The 22,415-nt window shown below is 40.4% G+C and overlaps 1 protein-coding gene across 1 annotated transcript in view, besides 2 other annotated features; it reads left to right on the top strand.

The window, feature by feature from the left end:
* Positions 1-22,415, top strand: part of CATSPERB (catsper channel auxiliary subunit beta) — a 151,389-nt gene that overhangs the window by 74,662 nt on the left and 54,312 nt on the right. Inside the window, exons 16-17 of the mRNA NM_024764.4 lie at positions 18,175-18,329; positions 20,846-21,000. Of these exons, the coding sequence (NP_079040.2) occupies positions 18,175-18,329; positions 20,846-21,000 (310 nt within the window). The remainder of the gene's footprint in view (positions 1-18,174; positions 18,330-20,845; positions 21,001-22,415) is intronic.
* Positions 10,878-11,470: an enhancer, noted in NCBI's record as "H3K27ac-H3K4me1 hESC enhancer chr14:92112299-92112891 (GRCh37/hg19 assembly coordinates)". NCBI's record gives its function as "activates a minimal SCP1, AML or CMV promoter by ChIP-STARR-seq in primed H9 embryonic stem cells {active_cell/tissue: H9 hESC(primed)}" and the evidence as "EXISTENCE:reporter gene assay evidence [ECO:0000049][PMID:30033119]".
* Positions 11,471-12,065: an enhancer, noted in NCBI's record as "H3K27ac-H3K4me1 hESC enhancer chr14:92111704-92112298 (GRCh37/hg19 assembly coordinates)". NCBI's record gives its function as "activates a minimal SCP1, AML or CMV promoter by ChIP-STARR-seq in naive and primed H9 embryonic stem cells {active_cell/tissue: H9 hESC(naive and primed)}" and the evidence as "EXISTENCE:reporter gene assay evidence [ECO:0000049][PMID:30033119]".

The following is a 22,415-nucleotide window of genomic DNA, read 5'->3' as shown; positions in this document are numbered from 1 at the left end:
TTCTTTTAGTCGTTTTATAGTTTTTTTTTATAGTTTTTAGATTTAAGCCTTTAATCCATTTTGTTTTGATTTTTGTGTGTGGAGAAAGAGGTCTAGTTTCATTCTTCTGCACATGGATATCTTCTGCATATGGATATGGATGGCCTAACATATGTTCTATTTATTTCAGAATGATCTATGTGCTGAGGAGAAGAGCGTGCATTCTGCAGCCATTGGTTGACATGTTCTGCAAATATCTATTAGGTCCATTTGGTCTACAGTGCAGATTAAGTCCAATGTTTCTTTTTTGATTTTCTGTCTGGATGACCTGTCCAGACAGAAAATCATGTCCAAAGGTGAACATGGGTTGTTGAATTCTCCAACAGTTATTGTATTGGGATCTATCTCTTTCCTTAGCTCTGATAATATTTGCTTTCTCTATCTGAGGGCTCCAGCATTGAGTGTATATATAGTTATAATTTTTATATCCTCTTGCTGAATTGACCCCTTTATCATTATATAATGACCCTCTTTGTCTCTTTCTATAGTTTTTGTCTTGAAATCTATTTTGTCTGATATAAGTATAGTGACTTCTGCTCTCTTTTGGTTTCCACTTGCCTGGAATATATTTTTCCATCTCTTTATTTTCAGTCTATGTGTGTCTTTTTAGGTGAAGTGTGTTTCTTGCAGGCAACAGATCACTGGGACTTTTTAAAAAAAATCCATTCAGGCACTCTATGTCTTTTGATTGGAGAGTTTAGTCCATTTACATTAAATATTGTTATTGATAAGTCAGAACTTACTCCTGACATTTCATTTTTTTCTGATTGTTTTGTGGTCTTCTCTTCCTTCTCTTTTTCCTTCCTATCTTCCTTTTAGTGAAGGCAATTTTCTCTGGTAGCATGTTTTAATTTCTGTCTTCAAGCTCACTGATTCTTTATTCCGCTTGATCAATTCTTCTATTAATTTCTTGCTTTTATTTTTTGCATATCTGTTGTATGTTTTTAAATTCTAGGTTACCATAATATCTTATAACCCATTATTTTAAACTGACATGTCTTGAAAAGTTGTTGTAGTTATTATATTTGATCAGTTTATCTTTTAGTTTTTCTACTCAACATATGAGTAGTTTACATACCATAATTAACATGTTATAATATTCTGTGTGTTTCTGTGTACTTACTATGACCAGTGAGTTTTGTACCTTCAGATGATTTCTTATTGCTCATTAATATCTTTTTATTTATGCTTGAAGTATTCCCTTTAGCATTTCTTATATGGCAGGTCTGGTGTTGATGAAATCCCTCAGGTTTCTTTTTTTATCTCAGAAAATATTTCTTTTTCATGTTTAAAGGATATTTTTGCCAGATATACCATTCTGGGATAAAAGTTTTAAAAAATATACGTCATGCCACTTTTTCCTGGCCTGTAAGGTTTACACTGAAAAGCCTGTGCCAGATATATTGGGGCTCCTTTGTATGTTATTGATTCTTTTCTCTTGCTGCTTTTAGGATCCTTTCTTTATCCTTGACCTTTGGGAGTTTCATTATTAAATGCCTTGAGGTCATCTTCTTTGGCTGAAATCTGTTTGGTGTTCTGTTACCTTCTTGTGCTTGGATATTGATATCTTTCTCTAAGTTTGGGAAGTTCTCTGTTATTACTCCTTTGAATAAATGTTCAATCCCTATCTCTTTCTCTACTTCCTCTTTAAGGCCAATAACTCTTAGATTTGCCCTTTTGAGGCTAATTTCTAGATTTTACAAGCATGCTTCATTCCTTTTTATTCTTTTTTCTTTCATCTACTCTAATTGTGTATTTTTAAGTGGGTTGTCTTCAAGCTCACTAATTCTTTATTCTGCTTTATCAATTCTGCTATTAAGAGACTCTGATAATTCTTCAGTATGTCAATTGCATTTTTCAGCTCCAGAATTCTGCTTGATTCTTTTTAATTGTTTCAATCTCTTTGCTAAATTTATCTGACAGGATTCTGGATTCCTTCTCTATATTATCTTGAATTTCCTTGAGTTTTCTCACAACAGCTATTCTGAATTCTCTGTCTGAAAGGTCACATATCTCTGTCTCTCCAAGATCGGTCTCTGGTGCCTTATTTTGTTCCTTTGGTGAGGTCATGTTCTCCTGGATGGTCTTGATGCTTCTGGACATTGATTGGTGTCTGGGGATTAAAGAGTTTGGTATTTATTTTAGTTTTCACAGTCTGGGCTTGTTCGTACCTGTCTTTCTTGGGAAAGCTTTCCAAGTATTCAAAGGGACTTGAGTGTTGTGATCTAAGTCTTTGCTCACTGCAGCTGAATCTGCATTAGGAGGTACCTCAAGCCCAGTAATGCTTTGGCTATTGCCAACTTGTAGAAGTACTGCCTTGGTGGTCTTATGTAAGATCCAGGAGAACTTGTATTACCTGTATTACCAGGTATTACAGGAAGAGACTGTATTACCAGGTATTACAGGAAGAGACTGTATTACCAGGAAGAGACTTTTGTTCTCTTACCTTACTTTCCACCAAACAAATAGTGTCTCTTTCTCTGTGCTAAGCTGCCTGGAGCTAGGGGAGGGGTGATGCAAGCACCCTTGTAGCCACCACCACTAGGACTGCACTGGGTCAAACCCAGAGCCAGCACAGCACCAGGTCTTGCCCAAGGCCCACAGTTTCCACTGCCTGGCTACTACCTATGTTCACTCTAGGCCCAAGAGCTCTATAATCAGCAGGTGATGAGTCCAGCCAGGGTTATGATCTTCCCTTCAGGGCAGTGAGTTGCCCCCAGCCCCAGCTAGGTCCAGAGATGCCATCTGGAAGCCAAGGAAGTTGAGACCCTTAGAGTCTATGTGGTATTCTATTCTATTGCGGCTAAGCTGGCACCCAAGCTGCAAGACAAAGTCTTTCTTACTCTTCCCTCCTTTATCCTGAAGCAGAGCAGTCTCTCTCCATGGCCACCACCACCCCAAGCCCATGGCAATTACCCCCTGGCTACCGCCACTATTCACTCAAGGTCCAAGGGCTCTTCAGTCAGCTTCTGGTGAATGCTGCCAGTCCTGGATTTCTCCTTTCAGGGCAGTGGCCCCACTCTGGCCCAGGGCAGGTTTAGAAATGCCACACAAGAGCCAAGTCCTGGAATCAGAGACCCCAGGAGCCCACTTCGTGAATTGTCCACTGTGGCCAAGCTGGTACCCAAGCTGATTTCTGGTTCTTATAAAGGTGCTTTCTTGTGTGGATCATTGTTCAATTTGATGTTCCTGCAGGGGTGGATAATCACTGGAGGCTCTATTCAGCCATCTTGCTCTGCCTCCTCTCTATAATCCCTCTTTTTCTAATCTTCCCTACTCCCCTCCTCTACTCACCCACCTCCTTCTTTATCCCTTTTCCTTCCTTCTTCTTCTGTTCTTCCCACTCTTCCTGTTTCCATCAAGTTCATCATTAAAGGTGCAGCACTGGTCAGATCTTCTATTTGCTCTAACATAGTGTAGGTGAATTATTCTTGAGACCCATCTGCTTCACCTCATTTAGATAGGACTTGGACCCATTTTCTCAACTCAGTAAAGTGCCTTGGAAAGTGGTAAACCTGGCTTCACTTATGAGGGCTTGATTTTTCCCTTTACTTTTCCTTTTGATATCTTCTCATCCACTGTCACCTTCTTATATGGTTTGGCTGTGTCCCAACCCAAATCTCAACTTGAGTTGTATCTCCCAGAATTCCCACATGTGGGAGGGACCCAGGGGGAGGTAATCAAATCATGGGGGCTGGTTTTTCCTGTGCTATTCTCATGATAGTGAATAAGTCTCACAAGATCTTATGGGTTTATAAGGGGTTTCCGCTTTTGCTTCCTCCTCATTTCTCTCTTGCTGCAACCATGTAAGAAGTGCCTTCCACCCTCTGCCATGATTGTGAGATCTTCCCCAGCCATGTGGAACTGTAAGTCTAATTAAATGTCTTTCTTTTGTAAATTGCCCAGTCTCGGGCATGTCTTGATCAGCAGCATGAAAAGGGACCAATACACCTTCTTACTTGTTAGAAGGGTATAACCGAGAGCCTTCAGGATTTTGTTGATTTACCTTCCTTCTCTCAATATTGCCTCAACAATGAACTATTATAGATTATTGGGTAACTTTTGAGATTGAGGTAGACTTGGAGATATCTTATTAGGTCTAACAGAAATTAGAAAAACACTGTCACCAAGACAAGACAGAGGCTGTGTTTTTTTGTTTGTTGTTTTTAACACACAGCATTTTTTATTGTATAGTTTAAAATTTCTTCTGATCTCCAGTTTCTTCTGATCTTCAGTCTCTGATACGATTTTAAATGACGAAGTTTCTGATATAACTTCAAAAAGCATGGTTTTGCAGGCCTCAATATTTTGTCCTTGATGTTCACCAGCAAAAGCAGTTTTACAGTTATACAATCTCCTCTATTGGTCCTTCCTTGTTTGAGAATAAGGACAGACCACAAAATCCTGATGCTATTTCTCCAGATCTTCACCACTCAGTTTATTTATTCTCTATTCTGTCAATAAAGCTTTTGTTTAACTTATGTCAGTATCAAGATTAATCCATGTGGTTTGTATGTCTGAATCATGTGTTGAGACAGCAGCTGTGTCAACCTAAGATTCTGGTGATCAGACTTTATATGATTGTGAAATAAATGAAAGTAATTGTGAATATTGTTAGGAGCACAATGTTGAACGTTTCCAGTATTCCAGAAAGCTCCCTCTTGCCTCTTGCTGCATTTCTTTTTTTTTTTTTTTTTTTTTTTTTTTTTTTTTTTGAGACAGAGTCTTGCTCTGTTGCTCAGACTGGGGTGCAGTGGTATGATCTCAGCTCACTGCAACCTCCGCCTCCCGGGTTCAAGCGATTCTCCTGCCTCAGCCTCCCGAGTAGCTGGGATTACAGATACCCGCCACCATGCCCAGCTAATTTTTTTTTTTTTTTTTGTATTGTTAGTAGAGACAGGGTTTCACCTTGTTGGCCAGGCTGGTCTCAAACTCCTGACCTCAAATGATCTGCCCATGTAGGCCTCCCAAAATGTTGGGATTACAGGCATGAGCCACTGTGCCCAGCCTAATGGTATTTCACTGAAGATTTAGTTTGCATGAGTAATAATGTTAAGTATATTTTCATGTGTTCATTTTTATATCCTTTTTTGTAAATTCTTTTCAAGTCTTTTTTGAATGAAGTTTTGATTTGAGTTACTTTTCTTACTGATTTCTATAAGATTTTAATGTATTACGGATATGATTTTTTGTTAGAAATATGTCTTGGAAATATCTTCTTGTAATTAGTGGCTTGTCTTATTTATCTTCTTCATGGTATCTTTTGAACAAAAATTATTAATTTTTGAAAGCTCAATTGACCAATCTTTCCTTTTATGGTTAGCACTTTTTACTTCTTGTATTCTATTTAAGAATTCTTTGCCTATCCCAAAGCTATGAAGATATTCTCCTGTTTTCTGGAAATTGGTTGTTTTAGATTTTATATACAGATCAAAGTAAAATCTCTAATTTTGTATATGTCATGAAGTGAGGTTCATTTTTTTCCCTGTATGACTACCAGAGCCTCTACTCTGGCCTTGAATTGAATATTCATCCCAAGCTTTTCTTTCTGCTTTTGTAAGCTCTCCAATATATCCATAGAAGTCATGCCACCCCACAATCTTTGTAAAAATTATGGTTGTCACTGTAATCAACTGCAGCTACTCCAATGGACCACCTCAAGTCTTGCCCTCCACAGACACTGCATCCCACACTCGCCACAGAGATAATTTGAGTAATTGTGAAGCCCTTGCTTGCTATGGTTTGCCAGGCATAAGTGGTCATCTGTTCACTCATTAAGTGTGTAAGCAACTCAGTCCCAGAATCCCACCACTATATTCTATGCCTTAGGGACACTGTAGGTAAAAACACTATATCAGTTTTGGACCATGCAGGAAACGTAATTCCTCTCAGGTGTTTTACCTGAAGAAGCTTTACAAGGGGACTATTTGCAGAGGGCAGACATAGTTAAAGGGAGCAACAGTGATAGTAAAATATCCAGAGACTAGCAATGGAAGAAAGATGTTACAGTCTCTTTGCTTAGAGGGGGGATAAGATAGATAGATGGCATTACTAAAGCCCAGTCAAAGCTGGAATGGAGTAGGGACCACCCTTTAAGAGGTGTAATCTAGGAAGCTCACAGCCACCACAAAACCACACCACCAAAGCAAGAAGAAAGAGGATGAAAACTACCTTAACTTCTGTCTCCTTCTCCTTTCTTAACTCCTGCTGCTGCATTTCATTTGCCAAGCCCAATCAGGAGTCAACTGGAAACAGCACAAAGATTGCAATTCATAGAAATCAGTCTTCCATTGCACCAAACAGGAAAGAGAAAGTCTGAGAGTGGATCTGGAGGAATGGCCAAATAGAGAATAAACAGCACATATTGTGAAATAAAAACCAAAATAGACCTAGCAAGATAATGTTGGAAACAGTAAAAATAACACCTAAGAAAACTAAATTGTCAATAAAAATTATAGAATATTAAAAATTATAAATATAAACTATAGAAACATACCCAGATGTAAAATGAACAAATAAGTGGAGAAAATCTAAAATAATAAATATAGATGCTAAAGATTCAGGAACTGCAAAATTGTAGGGATTTCTAGTGATGAACAAAAATTGTGGCTGTATGTTTCTCTCTTTTATCTACAGTTTCTGGCATAGTATAGCCCTCTGATAGAAATGGGTGGGTGGATGGATGGATGGATGGATAAATACAAAAAACAGAAAGAACAGAGGAAACCAAAATCAATAATGACATTAATTTTTTTAACTAAAAGCAAAACAAACCAACACTAAAAGCAGAAACACTCTTCGAAATGGGAAATGTAAGTCAATTTTAAAGAAACAAAAATCAAGCCAGCCTTGGATTCTTCTGCTGCAACAATGCCTGTTGCATATTCTAATATAGAACCTCCAAAAAAATTAGTTTCACCTAAGAATTTGGAACCAACTCAACTCATTATTCATATTCGTATTCATTTTCTAAAAGAAAAACATAGAATTCTTCTACAACAAATTATGGTGATTCCTTCCGTGACACTGGTTTTACTGATAAACATATGTCCTATTGCTTTATTTTCTTCTCTGCACACACAATAACTTTGTTTGAAAGCATTTTAAGCAGCAATAAAACTCAACATGTATTGCACCAATGATCTAGGAAGCTCAGTTAAAGTGATGACACTTTATAAAAGTTATAAATAACTGATTTATAAATATTTATAAAGTTATAAATAACTGAGACAAAGTACATGCATGGGTAGGCAATTGACCACTATGGTTTCAGTGCCCTCTGGCTGACAATGATTGTAAGACACATCAATTATAAGACGTGTCTCAATTCCCAAGCTGTTAACATGTGAAACATGCATTTCTTGCCATATTTATCCACAAAATATGGCATATTGAACCTTAGCAATTACAACAGCAAAGTTTTGCTACTGAAAAGCTCACGGGAGCATAAGAAAAAGCCTGACTACATGTGATTCAGAGGAAATAATTATAAATATTATTGACACAAAAAATAAAAACACAGTGAGAGTCTCTCAGAACCACATGATAAAATAATCAAGAATTTAAAAGACAAGAGGAATAACAAAAAGTTAAAACTAAAAAGCCAAGGTTTTGCCATCCCTAAAAGGCAATCCAAAATACTATCTCTTTATCTGAGTATAACTTTACATGGAGTTAGGAATTTTTTTGGAATCCTTTATTGTGATCATTCATGGAATTTTTTTAAATGTGCATGCTGGCGGGCGTCTGTAATCCCAGCTACTTGGGAGGCTGAGGCAGGAGAATCGCTTGAACCCAGGAGGTGGAGGTTACAGTGAGCCAAGTTCGTGCCACTGCACTCCAGCCTGGGTGACAGGCAAAACTCTGTCTCAAAAAAAAAAAAAAGTGTGTACAATACAAGTCTTAAAAAGCAAAAGAAGGCTAGATGTGGTGGCTCATGCTTGTAATTCCAGAACTTTGGGAGGCCAAGGCGGGAGCATCACTTGAGCGCAGGAGTTCAAGACCAGCCGGGGCAACAATCTCTACACACACACACACACACACACACACACACATATATGTATACATTTAAGTTTGTGTATATGTATTAAAGCAAAGGAAACAGAATAACCCATAAAAATAGACATGAAAGAGAGAAAAGACATAGCAGAAAATGTACAAAGCATAAAATAGAATAACCAAAAGTAGAGCTGGTCTACAGTTATCACCATAAATGTTCATTTATTCAGCAGCATTTATTGAGTACCTCGTATATGCCAGGTACTGTTCCAATCACTAAGGGTACAGCAGTCTCTTTTCCTGTGGAACTTACACACTTGTCAGAAGACACTGATAATTAACAAATAAACCAAAATAGGCTGTATGTAAGATAAATGCTACACAGGAAAAAAAAAAAAAGCAAGATAGGTGAATGGGAAGTGCCAGGTGAAGTGTGTGTTGCGTTGTGTGGTGTAGCATGTATTGTGGTCTGGGTGAGCGGCCTTGAAGCAGATGAGGGAATGAGCAGATATCCGAGGTAATCTACATTTCTCCATTAAAGACAGAGTCTTATTTTGGATTTTAAAATCTTGAAATATATTGCCAGGAGTGAAAAACTTAAAGCTAAAGTGGAGAGAAAAAAATATAAATAAAGATTTGAACAAGTATGTGAAACACACTGGGAGAGAAAGCAGAGGCAGTAATGTTCATATTCACACAGAGCAGGAATTTTAGGCTGAAAGTATTCAATAAACAAAGTTCTTTCTGTGATAAAATATAAATAGTACAAATATATCATATTGAGTCAATGCTCTAAAAGAATACAAGATATGTAAATATACAAAAATGAACTATAAGGAACATGAGAAGGAATCAACTGAAGTGCCAAAGTAGAATACATTTGAAATTGACAGTGTTAAATCTTTAATACATGAAGATCAAGATAAGACTATAAGGGAACATTCCATGTAGAGGAATTAAGATGTTGTGTTGAAATATAGGGCACATGTAGTATACTATAGCTAAATTTCCTAGGGATGACTTATTGATGATAAGACCAAGCAGGTAAACTGAACCCAGTTTTCCATTTGAGTCAAGCTAAAGAATTTCATCATGCCATTAAAAGATTATTAACATAATCATATTTGTATTTTAGAAAGATCATATGGGGAATATACTGGAAAATGTAAGATTTTTGGCCAAGTGATATGTTGATAAGAGGCTATTTTAAAAGCTGAAATGTGATGATGAGGGTCTGGATTAGAAAAGTGGCCACAAGTATGAAGAAAACAGTGGCAAATTATGAATGAAACCAGTGGGAGTTTGTGAAGGATTGGCTGTGAAATAGGAGGAAGTGTGTATAGTCAAGAGTTACACATAGGGCAACTGGATGAGTAATGATATGATGAACATCATCCGTAGAACACAGTATCCAAGGGACTTCCATTTCCAATTGTGGCTTCAGTTTGCTGCTGAGAATAATTTAACAAAATACTTAGATAAATTATTTTTTAAATTGATAACCTGAAAAGCTAATAGAAACAACCAGGCCAAACTCTAAGGGAAAACAAAACCTTGGTGATATGGTTTGGCTGTGTCCCCAACTAAATCTCACCTTGAATTGTAGCTCCCATAATCCCCATGTGTTGTGGGAGGTACCTGGTAGGAGGTAATTTAATCATGGGGGCAGGCCTTTCCCGTGCTGTTCTGGTGATAGTGAATAAGTCTCACAAGATCTGATGGTTTTATAAAAGGAGTTCCCCTGCATAAGCTCTCTTGCCTGCTACCATGTAAGATGTGACTTTGCTCCTCATTTGCTTTCAGCCATGATTGTAAGGCCTCCCCCAGCCATGTGGAACTGTGAGTCAATTAAATCTCTTTCCTTTATAAATTACCCAGTCTCAGGTATGTCTTTATTAGCAGCATGCAAACAGGCTAATATACTTGGAGAGGTAAAGAGGGCACACAGTACCAAAGTCCTTTTGACCTGAAGAGATTTACAAATTCCTGCAAACTTAGACTTTGAATTTGGTGGACTAATGAAGAGTTATGGCCCTGAGTCTACCCAGGTAGTGAGAATATAGATGGTGTGCCCCACCATACACCAGAACCCCTGAGGGCTCTACCCTTACGATAAAGATTAATCAGAGGTAAATCCATACACACTCACACATATCCCCAAGGAATACAACAAAGTCGTCTTGTTAAGTGAGTAGGAAAAGAAAAAGAGAGAAAAAAACCTGTCTGAGAGGTTATGGCCATTGGAAGGCCCCTGTGAGATTTGCAGCCCTGATTTGCATTGTCTGGGATTACAGGTGCCCACCACCACACCCAGCTAATTTTTGTATTTTTAGTAGAGATGAGGTTTCACCATGTTGGCCAGGCTGGTGTCCACCTCCTGACCTTAGGTGATCTGCCCGCCTCAGCCTCCCAAAGTGTTGGGATTGCAGGCATGAGCCACTGCTCCCAGCCATTCATGATTTTTTAAACAAACATTTATTAAAGCATGAATAGAATGTAACTTCTTGATTAAGAGTATCTAGGGGGGAAAGAAGCTATAGCAAATATCCAATCATATTTTCTAATAACACACCAAAAGCTTTTGCTATGTCATCTACCACTGCCTCTATTCATCATTGTATTGGAGGGCTGAATTAGTCTAGACAGGCAAGAACAATATATTAAAAGTGTGAGATTGGAGAGGAAGGAGCCCAGCTATTCCTGTAACAGATTATCTAATTGTGGAGATAGACAACCTCAGGCTCGTGTAGCTGAAGCAGAGTAAGCATTGCAGAAAGTCATAGGAGATAAGGTCAGAGAGGGACTGGAATTCATACCACGGTGGCCCTTGGAGGGCATTGCAAGGATTTTGACTCTTACTGAGAGAGAGGTTGAAGCCATGGAGAGTTTTGATGAGGAGAGTGGATGAAGTGACTTAACATTTTGAAAGTGTTACTTTGGATGCTTTTTTGAGAACAGACTGAAGGGAGCTATGGGCAGAATCACAGAGACCAATTCGGAGGCACAAGAGAGATGACAGTGGCTTGTACAGGGTGATAGTGGTGACAGAGGTGAGAAGTGGATGGAGTCTACATATATCATGAGGCTAGAGTCAATAGGATTTCTGATGGATTCGATGCAGGGTATGAGAGAGAGGAATTAAGAATGACATTGAGGGGAGGAGCCAAGATGGCCGAATAGGAACAGCTCCGGTCTACAGCTCCCAGCGTGAGCGACACAGAAGACGGGTGATTTCTGCATTTCCATCTGAGGTACCGGGTTCATCTCACTAGGGAGTGCCAGACAGTGGGCGCAGGCCAGTTGGTGCGCGCACCGTGCGCGAGCCGAAGTAGGGCGAGGCATTGCCTCACCTGGGAAGCGCAAGGGGTCAGGGAGTTCCCTTTCCGAGTCAAAGAAAGGGGTGACGGACGCACCTGGAAAATCGGGTCACTCCCACCCGAATATTGCGCTTTTCAGACCGGCTTAAAAAATGGCGCACCACGAGACTATATCCCACACCTGGCTCGGAGGGTCCTACGCCCACGGAATCTCGCTGATGGCTAGCACAGCAGTCTGAGATCAAACTGCAAGGCAGCAGCGAGGCTGGGGGAGGGGCGCCCACCATTGCCCAGGCTTGCTTAGGTAAACAAAGCAGCCGGGAAGCTCGAACTGGGTGGAGCCCACCACAGCTCAAGGAGGTCTGCCTGCCTCTGTAGGCTCCACCTCTGGGGGCAGGGCACAGACAAACAAAAAGACAGCAGTAACCTCTGCAGACTTAAATGTCCCTGTCTGACAGCTTTGAAGAGAGCAGTGGTTCTCCCAGCACGCAGCTGGAGATCTGAGAACCGGCAGACTGCCTCCTCAAGTGGGTCCCTGACCCCTGACCCCCGAGCAGCCTAACTGGGAGGCACCCCCCAGCAGGGGCACACTGACACCTCACACGGCAGGGTATTCCAACAGACCTGCAGCTGAGGGTCCTGTCTGTTAGAAGGAAAACTAACAAACAGAAAGGACATCCACACCAAAAACCCATCTGTACATCACCATCATCAAAGACCAAAAGTAGATAAAACCACAAAGATGGGGAAAAAACAGAACAGAAAAACTGGAAACTCTAAAACGCAGAGCATCTCTCCTCCTCCAAAGGAACGCAGTTCCTCACCAGCAACGGAACAAAGCTGGATGGAGAATGACTTTGACGAGCTGAGAGAAGGCTTCAGACGATCAAATTACTCTGAGCTACGGGAGGACATTCAAACCAAAGGCAAAGAAGTTGACAACTTTGAAAAAAATTTAGAAGAATGTATAACTAGAATAACCAATACAGAGAAGTGCTTAAAGGAGCTGATGGAGCTGAAAACCAAGGCTCGAGAACTACGTGAAGAATGCAGAAGCCTCAGGAGCTGATGCGATCAACTGGAAGAAAGGGTATCAGCAATGGAAGATGAAATGAATGAAATGAAGCGAGAAGGGAAGTTTAGAGAAAAAAGAATAAAAAGAAATGAGCAAAGCCTCCAAGAAATATGGGACTATGTGAAAAGACCAAATCTACGTCTGATTGGTGTACCTGAAAGTGATGGGGAGAATGGAACCAAGTTGGAAAACACTCTGCAGGATATTATCCAGGAGAACTTCCCCAATCTAGCAAGGCAGGCCAACATTCAGATTCAGGAAATACAGAGAATGCCACAAAGATACTCCTCGAGAAGAGCAACCCTAAGACACATAATTGTCAGATTCACCAAAGTTGAAATGAAGGAAAAAATGTTAAGGGCAGCCAGAGAGAAAGGTCGGGTTACCCTCAAAGGGAAGCCCATCAGACTAACAGCGGATCTCTCAGCAGAAACCCTACAAGCCAGAAGAGAGTGGGGGCCAATATTCAACATTCTTAAAGAAAAGAATTTTCAACCCAGAATTTCATATCCAGCCAAACTAAGTTTCATAAGTGAAGGAGAAATAAAATACTTTACAGACAAGCAAATGCTGAGAGATTTTGTCATCACCAGGCCTGCCCTACAAGAGCTCCTGAAGGAAGCGCTAAACATGGAAAGGAACAACCGGTACCAGCCGCTGCAAAATCATGCCAAAATGTAAAGACCATCGAGACTAGGAAGAAACTGCATCAACTAATGAGCAAAATCACCAGCTAACATCATAATAACAGGATCAAATTCACACATAACAATATTAACTTTAAATGTAAATGGACTAAATTCTCCAATTAAAAGACACAGACTGGCAAATTGGATAAAGAGTCAAGACCCATCAGTGTGCTGTATTCAGGAAACCCATCTCACGTGCAGAGACACACATAGGCTCAAAATAAAAAGATGGAGGAAGATCTACCAAGCAAATGGAAAACAAAAAAAGGCAAGGGTTGCAATCCTAGTCTCTGATAAAACAGACTTTAAACCAACAAGGATCAAAAGAGACAAAGAAGGCCATTACATAATGGTAAAGGGATCAATTCAACAAGAAGAGCTAATTATCCTAAATATATATGCACCCAATACAGGAGCACCCAGATTCATAAAGCAAGTCCTGAGTGACCTACAAAGAGACTTAGACTCCCACACATTAATAATGGGAGACTTTAACACCCCACCGTCAACATTAGACAGATCAACGAGACAGAAAGTCAACAAGGATACCCAGGAATTGAACTCAGCTCTGCACCAAGCGGACCTAATAGACATCTACAGAACTCTCCACCCCAAATCAACAGAATATACATTTTTTTCAGCACCACACCACACCTATTCCAAAATTGACCACATAGTTGGAAGTAAAGCTCTCCTCAGCAAATGTAAAAGAACAGAAATTATAACAAACTATCTCTCAGACCACAGTGCAATCAAACTAGAACTCAGGATTAAGAATCTCACTCAAAGCCGCTCAACTACATGGAAACTGAACAACCTGCTCCTGAATGACTACTGGATACATAACGAAATGAAGGCAGAAATAAAGATGTTCTTTGAAACCAACGAGAACAAAGACACAACATACCAGAATCTCTGGGACGCATTCAAGGCAGTGTGTAGAGGGAAATTTATAGCACTAAATGCCCACAAGAGAAAGCAGGAAAGATCCAAAATTGACACCCTAACATCACAATTAAAAGAACTAGAAAAGCAAGAGCAAACACATTCAAAAGCTAGCAGAAGGCAAGAAATAACTAAAATCAGAGCAGAACTGAAGGAAATAGAGACACAAAAAACCCTTCAAAAAATCAATGAATCCAGGAGCTGGTTTTTTGAAAGGATCAACAAAATTGATAGACCGCTAGCAAGACTAATAAAGAAAAAAAGAGAGAAGAATCAAATAGACACAATAAAAAATGATAAAGGGGATATCACCACCGATCCCACAGAAATACAAACTACCATCAGAGAATACTACAAACACCTCTATGCAAATAAACTAGAAAATCTAGAAGAAATGGATAAATTCCTCGACACATACACTCTCCCAAGACTAAACCAGGAAGAAGTTGAATCTCTGAATAGACCAATAACAGGAGCTGAAATTGTGGCAATAATCAGTAGTTTACCAACCAAAAAGAGTCCAGGACCAGATGGATCCACAGCCGAATTCTACCACAGGTACAAGGAAGAACTGGTACCATTCCTTCTGAAACTATTCCAATCAATAGAAAAAGAGGGAATCCTCCCTAACTCATTTTATGAGGCCAGCATCCTTCTGATACCAAAGCCGGGCAGAGACACAACCAAAAAAGAGAATTTTAGACCAATATCCTTGATGAACATTGATGCAAAAATCCTCAATAAAATACTGGCAAACCGAATCCAGCAGCACATCAAAAAGCTTATCCACCATGATCAAGTGGGCTTCATCCCTGGGATGCAAGGCTGGTTCAATATACGCAAATCAATAAATGTAATCCAGCATATAAACAGAGCCAAAGACAAAAACCACATGATTATCTCAATAGATGCAGAAAAAGCCTTTGACAAAATTCAACAACCCTTCATGCTAAAAACTCTCAATAAATTAGGTATTGATGGGACGTATTTCAAAATAATAAGAGCTATCTATGACAAACCCACAGCCAATATCATACTGAATGGGCAAAAACTGGAAGCATTCCCTTTGAAAACTGGCACAGACAGGGGTGCCCTCTCTCACCACTCCTATTCAACATAGTGTTGGAAGTTCTGGCCAGGGCAATTAGGCAGGAGAAGGAAATAAAGGGTATTCAATTAGGAAAAGAGGAAGTCAAATTGTCCCTGTTTGCAGACGACATGATTGTATATCTAGAAAACCCCATTGTCTCAGCCCAAAATCTCCTTAAGATGATAAGCAACTTCAGCAAAGTCTCAGGATACAAAATCAATGTACAAAAATCACAAGCATTCTTATACACCAACAACAGACAAACAGAGAGCCAAATCATGAGTGAACTCCCATTCACAATTGCTTCAAAGAGAATAAAATACCTAGGAATCCAACTTACAAGGGATGTGAAGGACCTCTTCAAGGAGAACTACAAACCACTGCTCAAGGAAATAAAAGAGGATACAAACAAATGGAAGAACATTCCATGCTCATGGGTAGGAAGAATCAATATCGTGAAAATGGCCATACTGCCCAAGGTAATTTACAGATTCAATGCCATCCCCATCAAGCTACCAATGACTTTCTTCACAGAATTGGAAAAAACTACTTTAAAGTTCATATGGAACCAAAAAAGAGCCCGCATTGCCAAGTCAATCCTAAGCCAAAAGAACAAAGCTGGAGGCATCACACTACCTGACTTCAAACTATACTACAAGGCTACAGTAACCAAAACAGCATGGTACTGGTACCAAAACAGAGATATAGATCAATGGAACAGAACAGAGCCCTCAGAAATAATGCCACATACCCACAACTATCTGATCTTTGACAAACCTGAGAAAAACAAGCAATGGGGAAAGGATTCCCTATTTAATAAATGGTACTGGGGAAACTGGATCCCTTCCTTACACCTTATACAAAAATCAATTCAAGATGGATTAAAGATTTAAACGTTAGACCTAAAACCATAAAAACCCTAGAAGAAAACCTAGGCATTACCATTCAGGACATAGGCATGGGCAAGGACTTCATGTCCAAAACACCAAAAGCAATGGCAACAAAAGGCAAAATTGACAAATGGGATCTAATTAAACTAAAGAGCTTCTGCACAGCAAAAGAAACTACCATGAGAGTGAACAGGCAACCTACAAAATGGGAGAAAATTTTCACAACCTACTCATCTGACAAAGGGCTAATATCCAGAATCTACAATGAACTCAAACAAATTTACAAGAAAAAAACAAACAACCCCATCAAAAAGTGGGCGAAGGACATGAACAGACACTTCTCAAAAGAAGACATTTATGCAGCCAAAAAACACATGAAAAAATGCTCATCATCACTGGCCATCAGAGAAATGCAAATCAAAACCACTATGAGATACCATCTCACACCAGTTAGAATGGCAATCATTAAAAACAACAGGTGCTGGAGAGGATGTGGAGAAATAGGAACACTTTTACACTGTTGGTGGGACTGTAAACTAGTTCAACCATTGTGGAAGTCAGTGTGGCGATTCCTCAGGGATCTAGAACTGGAAATACCATTTGACCCAGCCATCCCATTACTGGGTATATACCCAAAGGACTATAAATCATGTTGCTATAAAGACACATGCACACGTATGTTTATTGCGGCATTATTCACAATAGCAAAGACTTGGAACCAACCCAAATGTCCAACAATGATAGACTGGATTAAGAAAATGTGGCACATATACACCATGGAATACTATGCAGCCATAAAAAATGATGAGTTCATGTCCTTTGTAGGGACATGGATGAAATTGGAAATCATCATTCTCAGTAAACTATCGCAAGAACAAAAAACCAAACACTGCATATTCTCACTCATAGGTGGGAATTGAACAATGAGATCACATGGACACAGGAAGGGGAATATCACACTCTGGGGACTGTGGTGGGGTGGGGGGAGGGGGGAGGGATAGCATTGGGAGATATACCTAATGCTAGATGACGAGTTAGTGGGTGCAGTGCACCAGCATGGCACATGTATACATATGTATCTAACCTGCACAATGTGCACATGTACCTTAAAACTTAAATAAAAAAAAAATAAAAAAATAAAAAGAATGACATTGAGGTTTTTGGGCTAAGCAACAGCAATAATGCAGCTGCCATTAATGAAGGTGAGGAAGGCTGGGGCTGGAGGAGGTTTGCGTGAGGATCAGGAGCTCAGTCTGGAATGAGTTCACTTTGAGAGGCCTAACCAACATCGAATGAAGCTGTTGGAAGGCAGTTAGCTACATAAGCCTAGACTTCAGGGAAGAGCACTAGATGGTAGACTTAAATTTGGGAATTATCCATCTAAAGATGGATTTAAAATCCTAAAACTGAATGAGATCTCCAAAGATAGTGAGAGAAGTAATCTAAAAACTGAGTCCTGGACACTCCAATGTGTAGAATGAGCTAGGAGAGCCTGAGCTAACTGGGTGGGTTTGGGTGGGATGCAGTGTGCAGAAATTAGTCTTTTTCATCCTGAGCCATGATCTTTCACTCTAGCTCCTTCCAAGGGAGGGGACCCTGTCTCAGGACCAGTGTCTGTTTGGCTAAGTGAATGCTGCGGCACCATCTGATTACTGACAGTGCCTCTCAACGTGGCGCCCTAAGGATGAGAGAACCACAGGACGCCCAGTTTGGTTCAACATATTAATCCTAGTATAATTTAATGACCAATGTCTACTGATGATTCGCCTTGCCTTCCTAAGGATTGTTTTCTTGCTGACTTTTACCTCTTCAGGAATCTGATTTGCTGGTAATAGGAAGAGAAACCACTACTAGAGAGACCTAACCGCTTTTCCTCTAGATCTCTTAATTAAACATCCCCTCTGTTTGTTTCTTCCCCTACTTCAGTGAACAGATTCTGTAGTGACATGGAGTCTGGAAAAGGCTTTCCAGGGACTTAACAAAAACTAACATGCATTTTCCTAATTCAGGAGTCTCAGGGCCCTACTTCCACCTCTTAGTTTAAATGAAGGTGTCTTTACAAGGTATGATATTAAAGTTTTTCGACTTCTGTTACATCAGTATCAAGACACTTCTCTGTATTTCCTAATAGGAATGGGAAGATACAGTGCAGTCGGAAGTGTTACTGAGAGAATTTTCACATTATACTATGATCACTTGGGATTCCTACATAAGCTGACTCTGGGTCGCTTTGAAGCTAGTGGACCACCCACAGCCTTTGGAAATTCTAGAAATCTTTTTGGACAGGTCAGTATATAATGCATTGAAACAGTTTGCCTTATTTTAAGAATAGATGCCACATTCAATACATAGAATAATGGGAAAATGGGAAAGTATTTTCCTTGGGACAAACTCATTAATGCAGTTTGCTCTATTTAACTAAAGGAAGAACCTCCATGTGCCACAAACATCTCCAAATCTTCTTCCAAGTCCCATATGGAATTATATAGCTTCAATTCCACCTAGAATATCTTCATGCAAATATCTTCGCAGCAGAACACCACTAAACATTCTAAGCTAGAACCATTACTTCTAAGCTAGAACCATTACTCCCAACCCAGGCCAAGGTAGGATTGATTCTCTACCTCTTAAGGTTGTCCCTGAAGAAACATGGGTTGTGAGGCCAGGCGCCATGGCTCATGCCTGTAATCCTAGCATTGTGGGAGGCTGAGGTGGGTTGATCGCTTCAGCCCAGGAGTTGGAGACTAGCCTGGGCAACAAGGTGAAACCCCATCTCTACCAAAGAATTAAAAAATTAGCCTGGTGTGGTGGCATTCATCTGTAGTTCCAGCTTCTTGGGAGGCTGAGGCAGGAGGATCACTTGAACCTGGGAAGTTGAGGCTGAAGTGAACTGCGATCACGCTGCTGAAGTGAGCTGTGATCGTGCCACTGAACTCCAGTTTGGGCAACAGAGCAAGACCCTGACTCAAAAAAAAAAAAAAGGAACATGAGCTGTGGTCTACCTTTCTTCTTTCCTATTAACCCTTCTCCCTGGTTTCTTCTTTTTCTAGTGACAACAAAAAAAGGAGTTATCTTCTTTACAGATGACACTTGATACCGGTTTTTATAATAGTTTAATGTATAATATGCTGCTTGTGAAGGTAGCTCATCCTTGGGCACCAGTTACAAAACTGGACACTCTCAAACCATCAGCAAATTATCAAACATTTTTGACTGGGGTTAGTAAAACCTGCCCTTTGACTTAAAGGAAAAGGAACAAAAGATGAATCTGGTTTTAAAAGATCATTCCAATTACCAGGCCAAGGCTGCAGTTGAGAGGATGGTGTTTATCTTCCCCTCTCTGAGACATGCATAGAGAATGAGGGCAGGAACTTCCTTGGGAGAGTTAAGATGCCACATGTGACTCCCTGTGTCTTTGCCCAAGTCTGGGGTGTGAATTCCGCATTTATACAAAGCGAATGATGTGAGCAGGAGGGTAGAACTAACTAAAAAAAAGCATTTACCTCATTTTTCACCAACTTCACAATTTGTAGAAAGTTTCTTAGTTCCCTTATGTGAAAGTTTAAATTATTAAAAGAAAAAAAAACCCTACAGGTATTTGTATACTTAGGACAAGTTTGACGAAGCCATACTCAGCAATATCACTTCCCTCTCCACAAACTATGCATGCATTCTCTCTGGATAAAAATAATCGCTGGCTCTTATTACAGTATTGGAGCTCTCAATCTTTATAACGACGATTTATTCCTATTTCACTTATGAAGAAAGCGAGGCACAGACAGGCTGGTTAGTTATTGGGATTAGACATCTATCCCAGGCAACTGGCTCCGGGGCCTGTGCTCTTAGCCACCTGCTGCCTTTCATTGGACTTGCATACACTTTCCCTAGGATACACTTGCCACTCCCAGGCTACAGTGTCATACAGAATTCTAAAGATGTTTAGCCATTTCAGTGATTTTCAAGAGTCCTCAAGCCATTTGGCTCAATCCCACATTGATTTTCCTGGCATCTATTTCCCATTTCTCCTCAGTGCACTCCCAAAATTCAGTAACTAGGAAAAAAAGCATGACAGAAGATGAGTCTTGGAGGCACTATGGGACAGATGTGTCCCCAACCAGTCTGCACGATCTACCACCCACACCTTGTCTCATAGCAACAAAGTCAACTCCAGCAGCCCCTTTGGGGATGGTCCCTACCTCTCTTCTCTCCCCTAAAAGTTCCCCAAGCAGGACAGGGTCAGGATTAGAGAAAGGTGTGTTGAAAAGAAAGACCTATAGATCAGAAATCTAGGCCAGAAGTGCCTGGGTAGACTGCAAGGGGAGGTCTGTGAGTCAGGAAAGGAGAACAGCTTATGCTGCCAGTTGGGAGACTCAGACAGCAGCTGTCCAGAGTCTCTAGCACGAGATCAGGAGCAGCAAGTGAGGACAGGGATTTCACGGGCCCTTTCCTAAATAAAACTTCAAATAAGAACCCAGTTCTAAAATCTGCATCTCCAGGCTCCTCACACACCCACAATGTGAGTCAAGTTTCCATGTACCCTTTCACTCCAACCATCCACGAAGGGCATAGGAATCTTACACCACATCTTAGTCATCAGAACTTCCATTCCTCCTTAACAGGAAAATACATCTTCCCTTGCACACACATGGATGTTCCAACAGAACACGTTGACTTATTTCTCCAATTGATAAGTAAACCAGTATTGTTTTAATGTGAACTGGAAATAAATCTGTGACTTCAATTTTGTCATAATTGAAGTATAAAGTAGTTTAAATATAATATTTTCTTTTCTCTGTTTCCAGCCTCCAGATATGGGCTTTGAGACTGCGCTTGCCCCACAGCACACCTCCTTAGATGAAATTATCTTTTTTGCATATGTACCTGAGAACGAACCCCAGGAAACGATCTACAGCAAGAAGTTCGGCAATATACACTATGGAAAAGTGATACACTCTGGGTAGTGATATGCATTTATTTAGATGGCATATTGGTTTCTAGAATCTACTTTTTAAATTTTTTGAGATAGGGTCTTGCTCTGTCATCCAGGCTGGAGTGCAGTAGTGCGATGACAGCTCACTGCAGCCTCAATCTCCCAGGCTCAAGCAATGCTCTGGCCCCAGCCTCCAGAATAGCTGGGACTGCAGGCACACACCACCAAGCCCGGCTAAGTTTTGTATTTTTTGTAGAGATGGGGTTTCACCATGTTGCCCAGGCTGGTCTCAAACCCCTGAGCTCAAGGGATTCACCCACCTCAGCTTCCCAAACTGCTGAGGTTACAAGTGTGAGCCACTGCAGCTGGCCAATAGAATCTAAATTTTTGGGCCTACTTTTTTGAATAATTTTCTTGGTCAAATAGAGTAAGTATTTTTTTGACACCCCACAAGGCCAAATACATTTATAAACTCCTAGATGTCTTGCATGCTGCCCCAATTTTAGAAACCTAGGACCATTTATATCAGTGCCATCAGGCCAAGCTATAGAAATGTGTTTCGTGAGTATCAAAAATATTCTGGACAACACTGGATACTTCCTATCCACTGAGTTTACTCAAATGACAATTCTTGTATATCCTAGAGACCAACACATTTAATGTAGTGGAGGCTATCTTTTATGAAATATTGCATTGAACAATATACAGAATTCTCAGAAATGCTTACAGTAAGAGTCAATAACCCTTAAAGCTACCTTTAAGGCCTAATAACTCTTATTCAGAATATGAATTCTGGCTGGGTGCCATGGCTCACACCTGTAATCCCAGAACTTTGGGAGGCCAAGGCCAGCAGATCAGTTGAGACCAGGAGTTGGAGACCAGTCTGACCAACATGGTGAAACTCCATCTCTACTAAAAATAAAAAAAATTAGCCAGGTGTGGTGGCTCACATCTGTAATCCCAGCTACTGGGAAGACCGAGGCACAATAGTTGCGTGAACCCAGGAGGCCGAGGTTGCAGCGAGCCAAGATTGTGCCATTGCCGTTGCACTCCAGCCTGAGTGAGAGAGTGAGACTCTGTCTCAAAAAAAAAAGAATATGAATTATATAACCCCCAAATCTACCAACTAAAAAAGAAACAATTTCAACAATTTCAGATTACCAGAAACTCACTGCTGTGGTCTAAATATCTGTTTTCCCCAAAAATTCATATGTGGAAATCCTAACCCTCAAGGTGGTAGTATTAGGAGGTGGGGCCCTTGGTAGGTGACTAGGTCATGAGGACTCTGCCCTCATGAATGGAATTAGTGTCCTTATGAAAGAGACCCCAGAGAGCTAGCTAGGCCCTTCCACCACGAAGGACTGAAGGACAGAGCCAGCTAGGCCCTTCCACCATGGAAGGACACACGTAGAAGACACCATCTATAAACCAGAAAGTGGACC

The sequence above is a fragment of the Homo sapiens genome, chromosome 14 (assembly GCF_000001405.40).
Source record: "Homo sapiens chromosome 14, GRCh38.p14 Primary Assembly".
Lineage (NCBI taxonomy): Eukaryota > Metazoa > Chordata > Mammalia > Primates > Hominidae > Homo > Homo sapiens.
The sequence above is the reverse complement of the archived record's forward strand: the minus strand, read 5'-3'. Positions and strand labels throughout refer to the sequence as shown.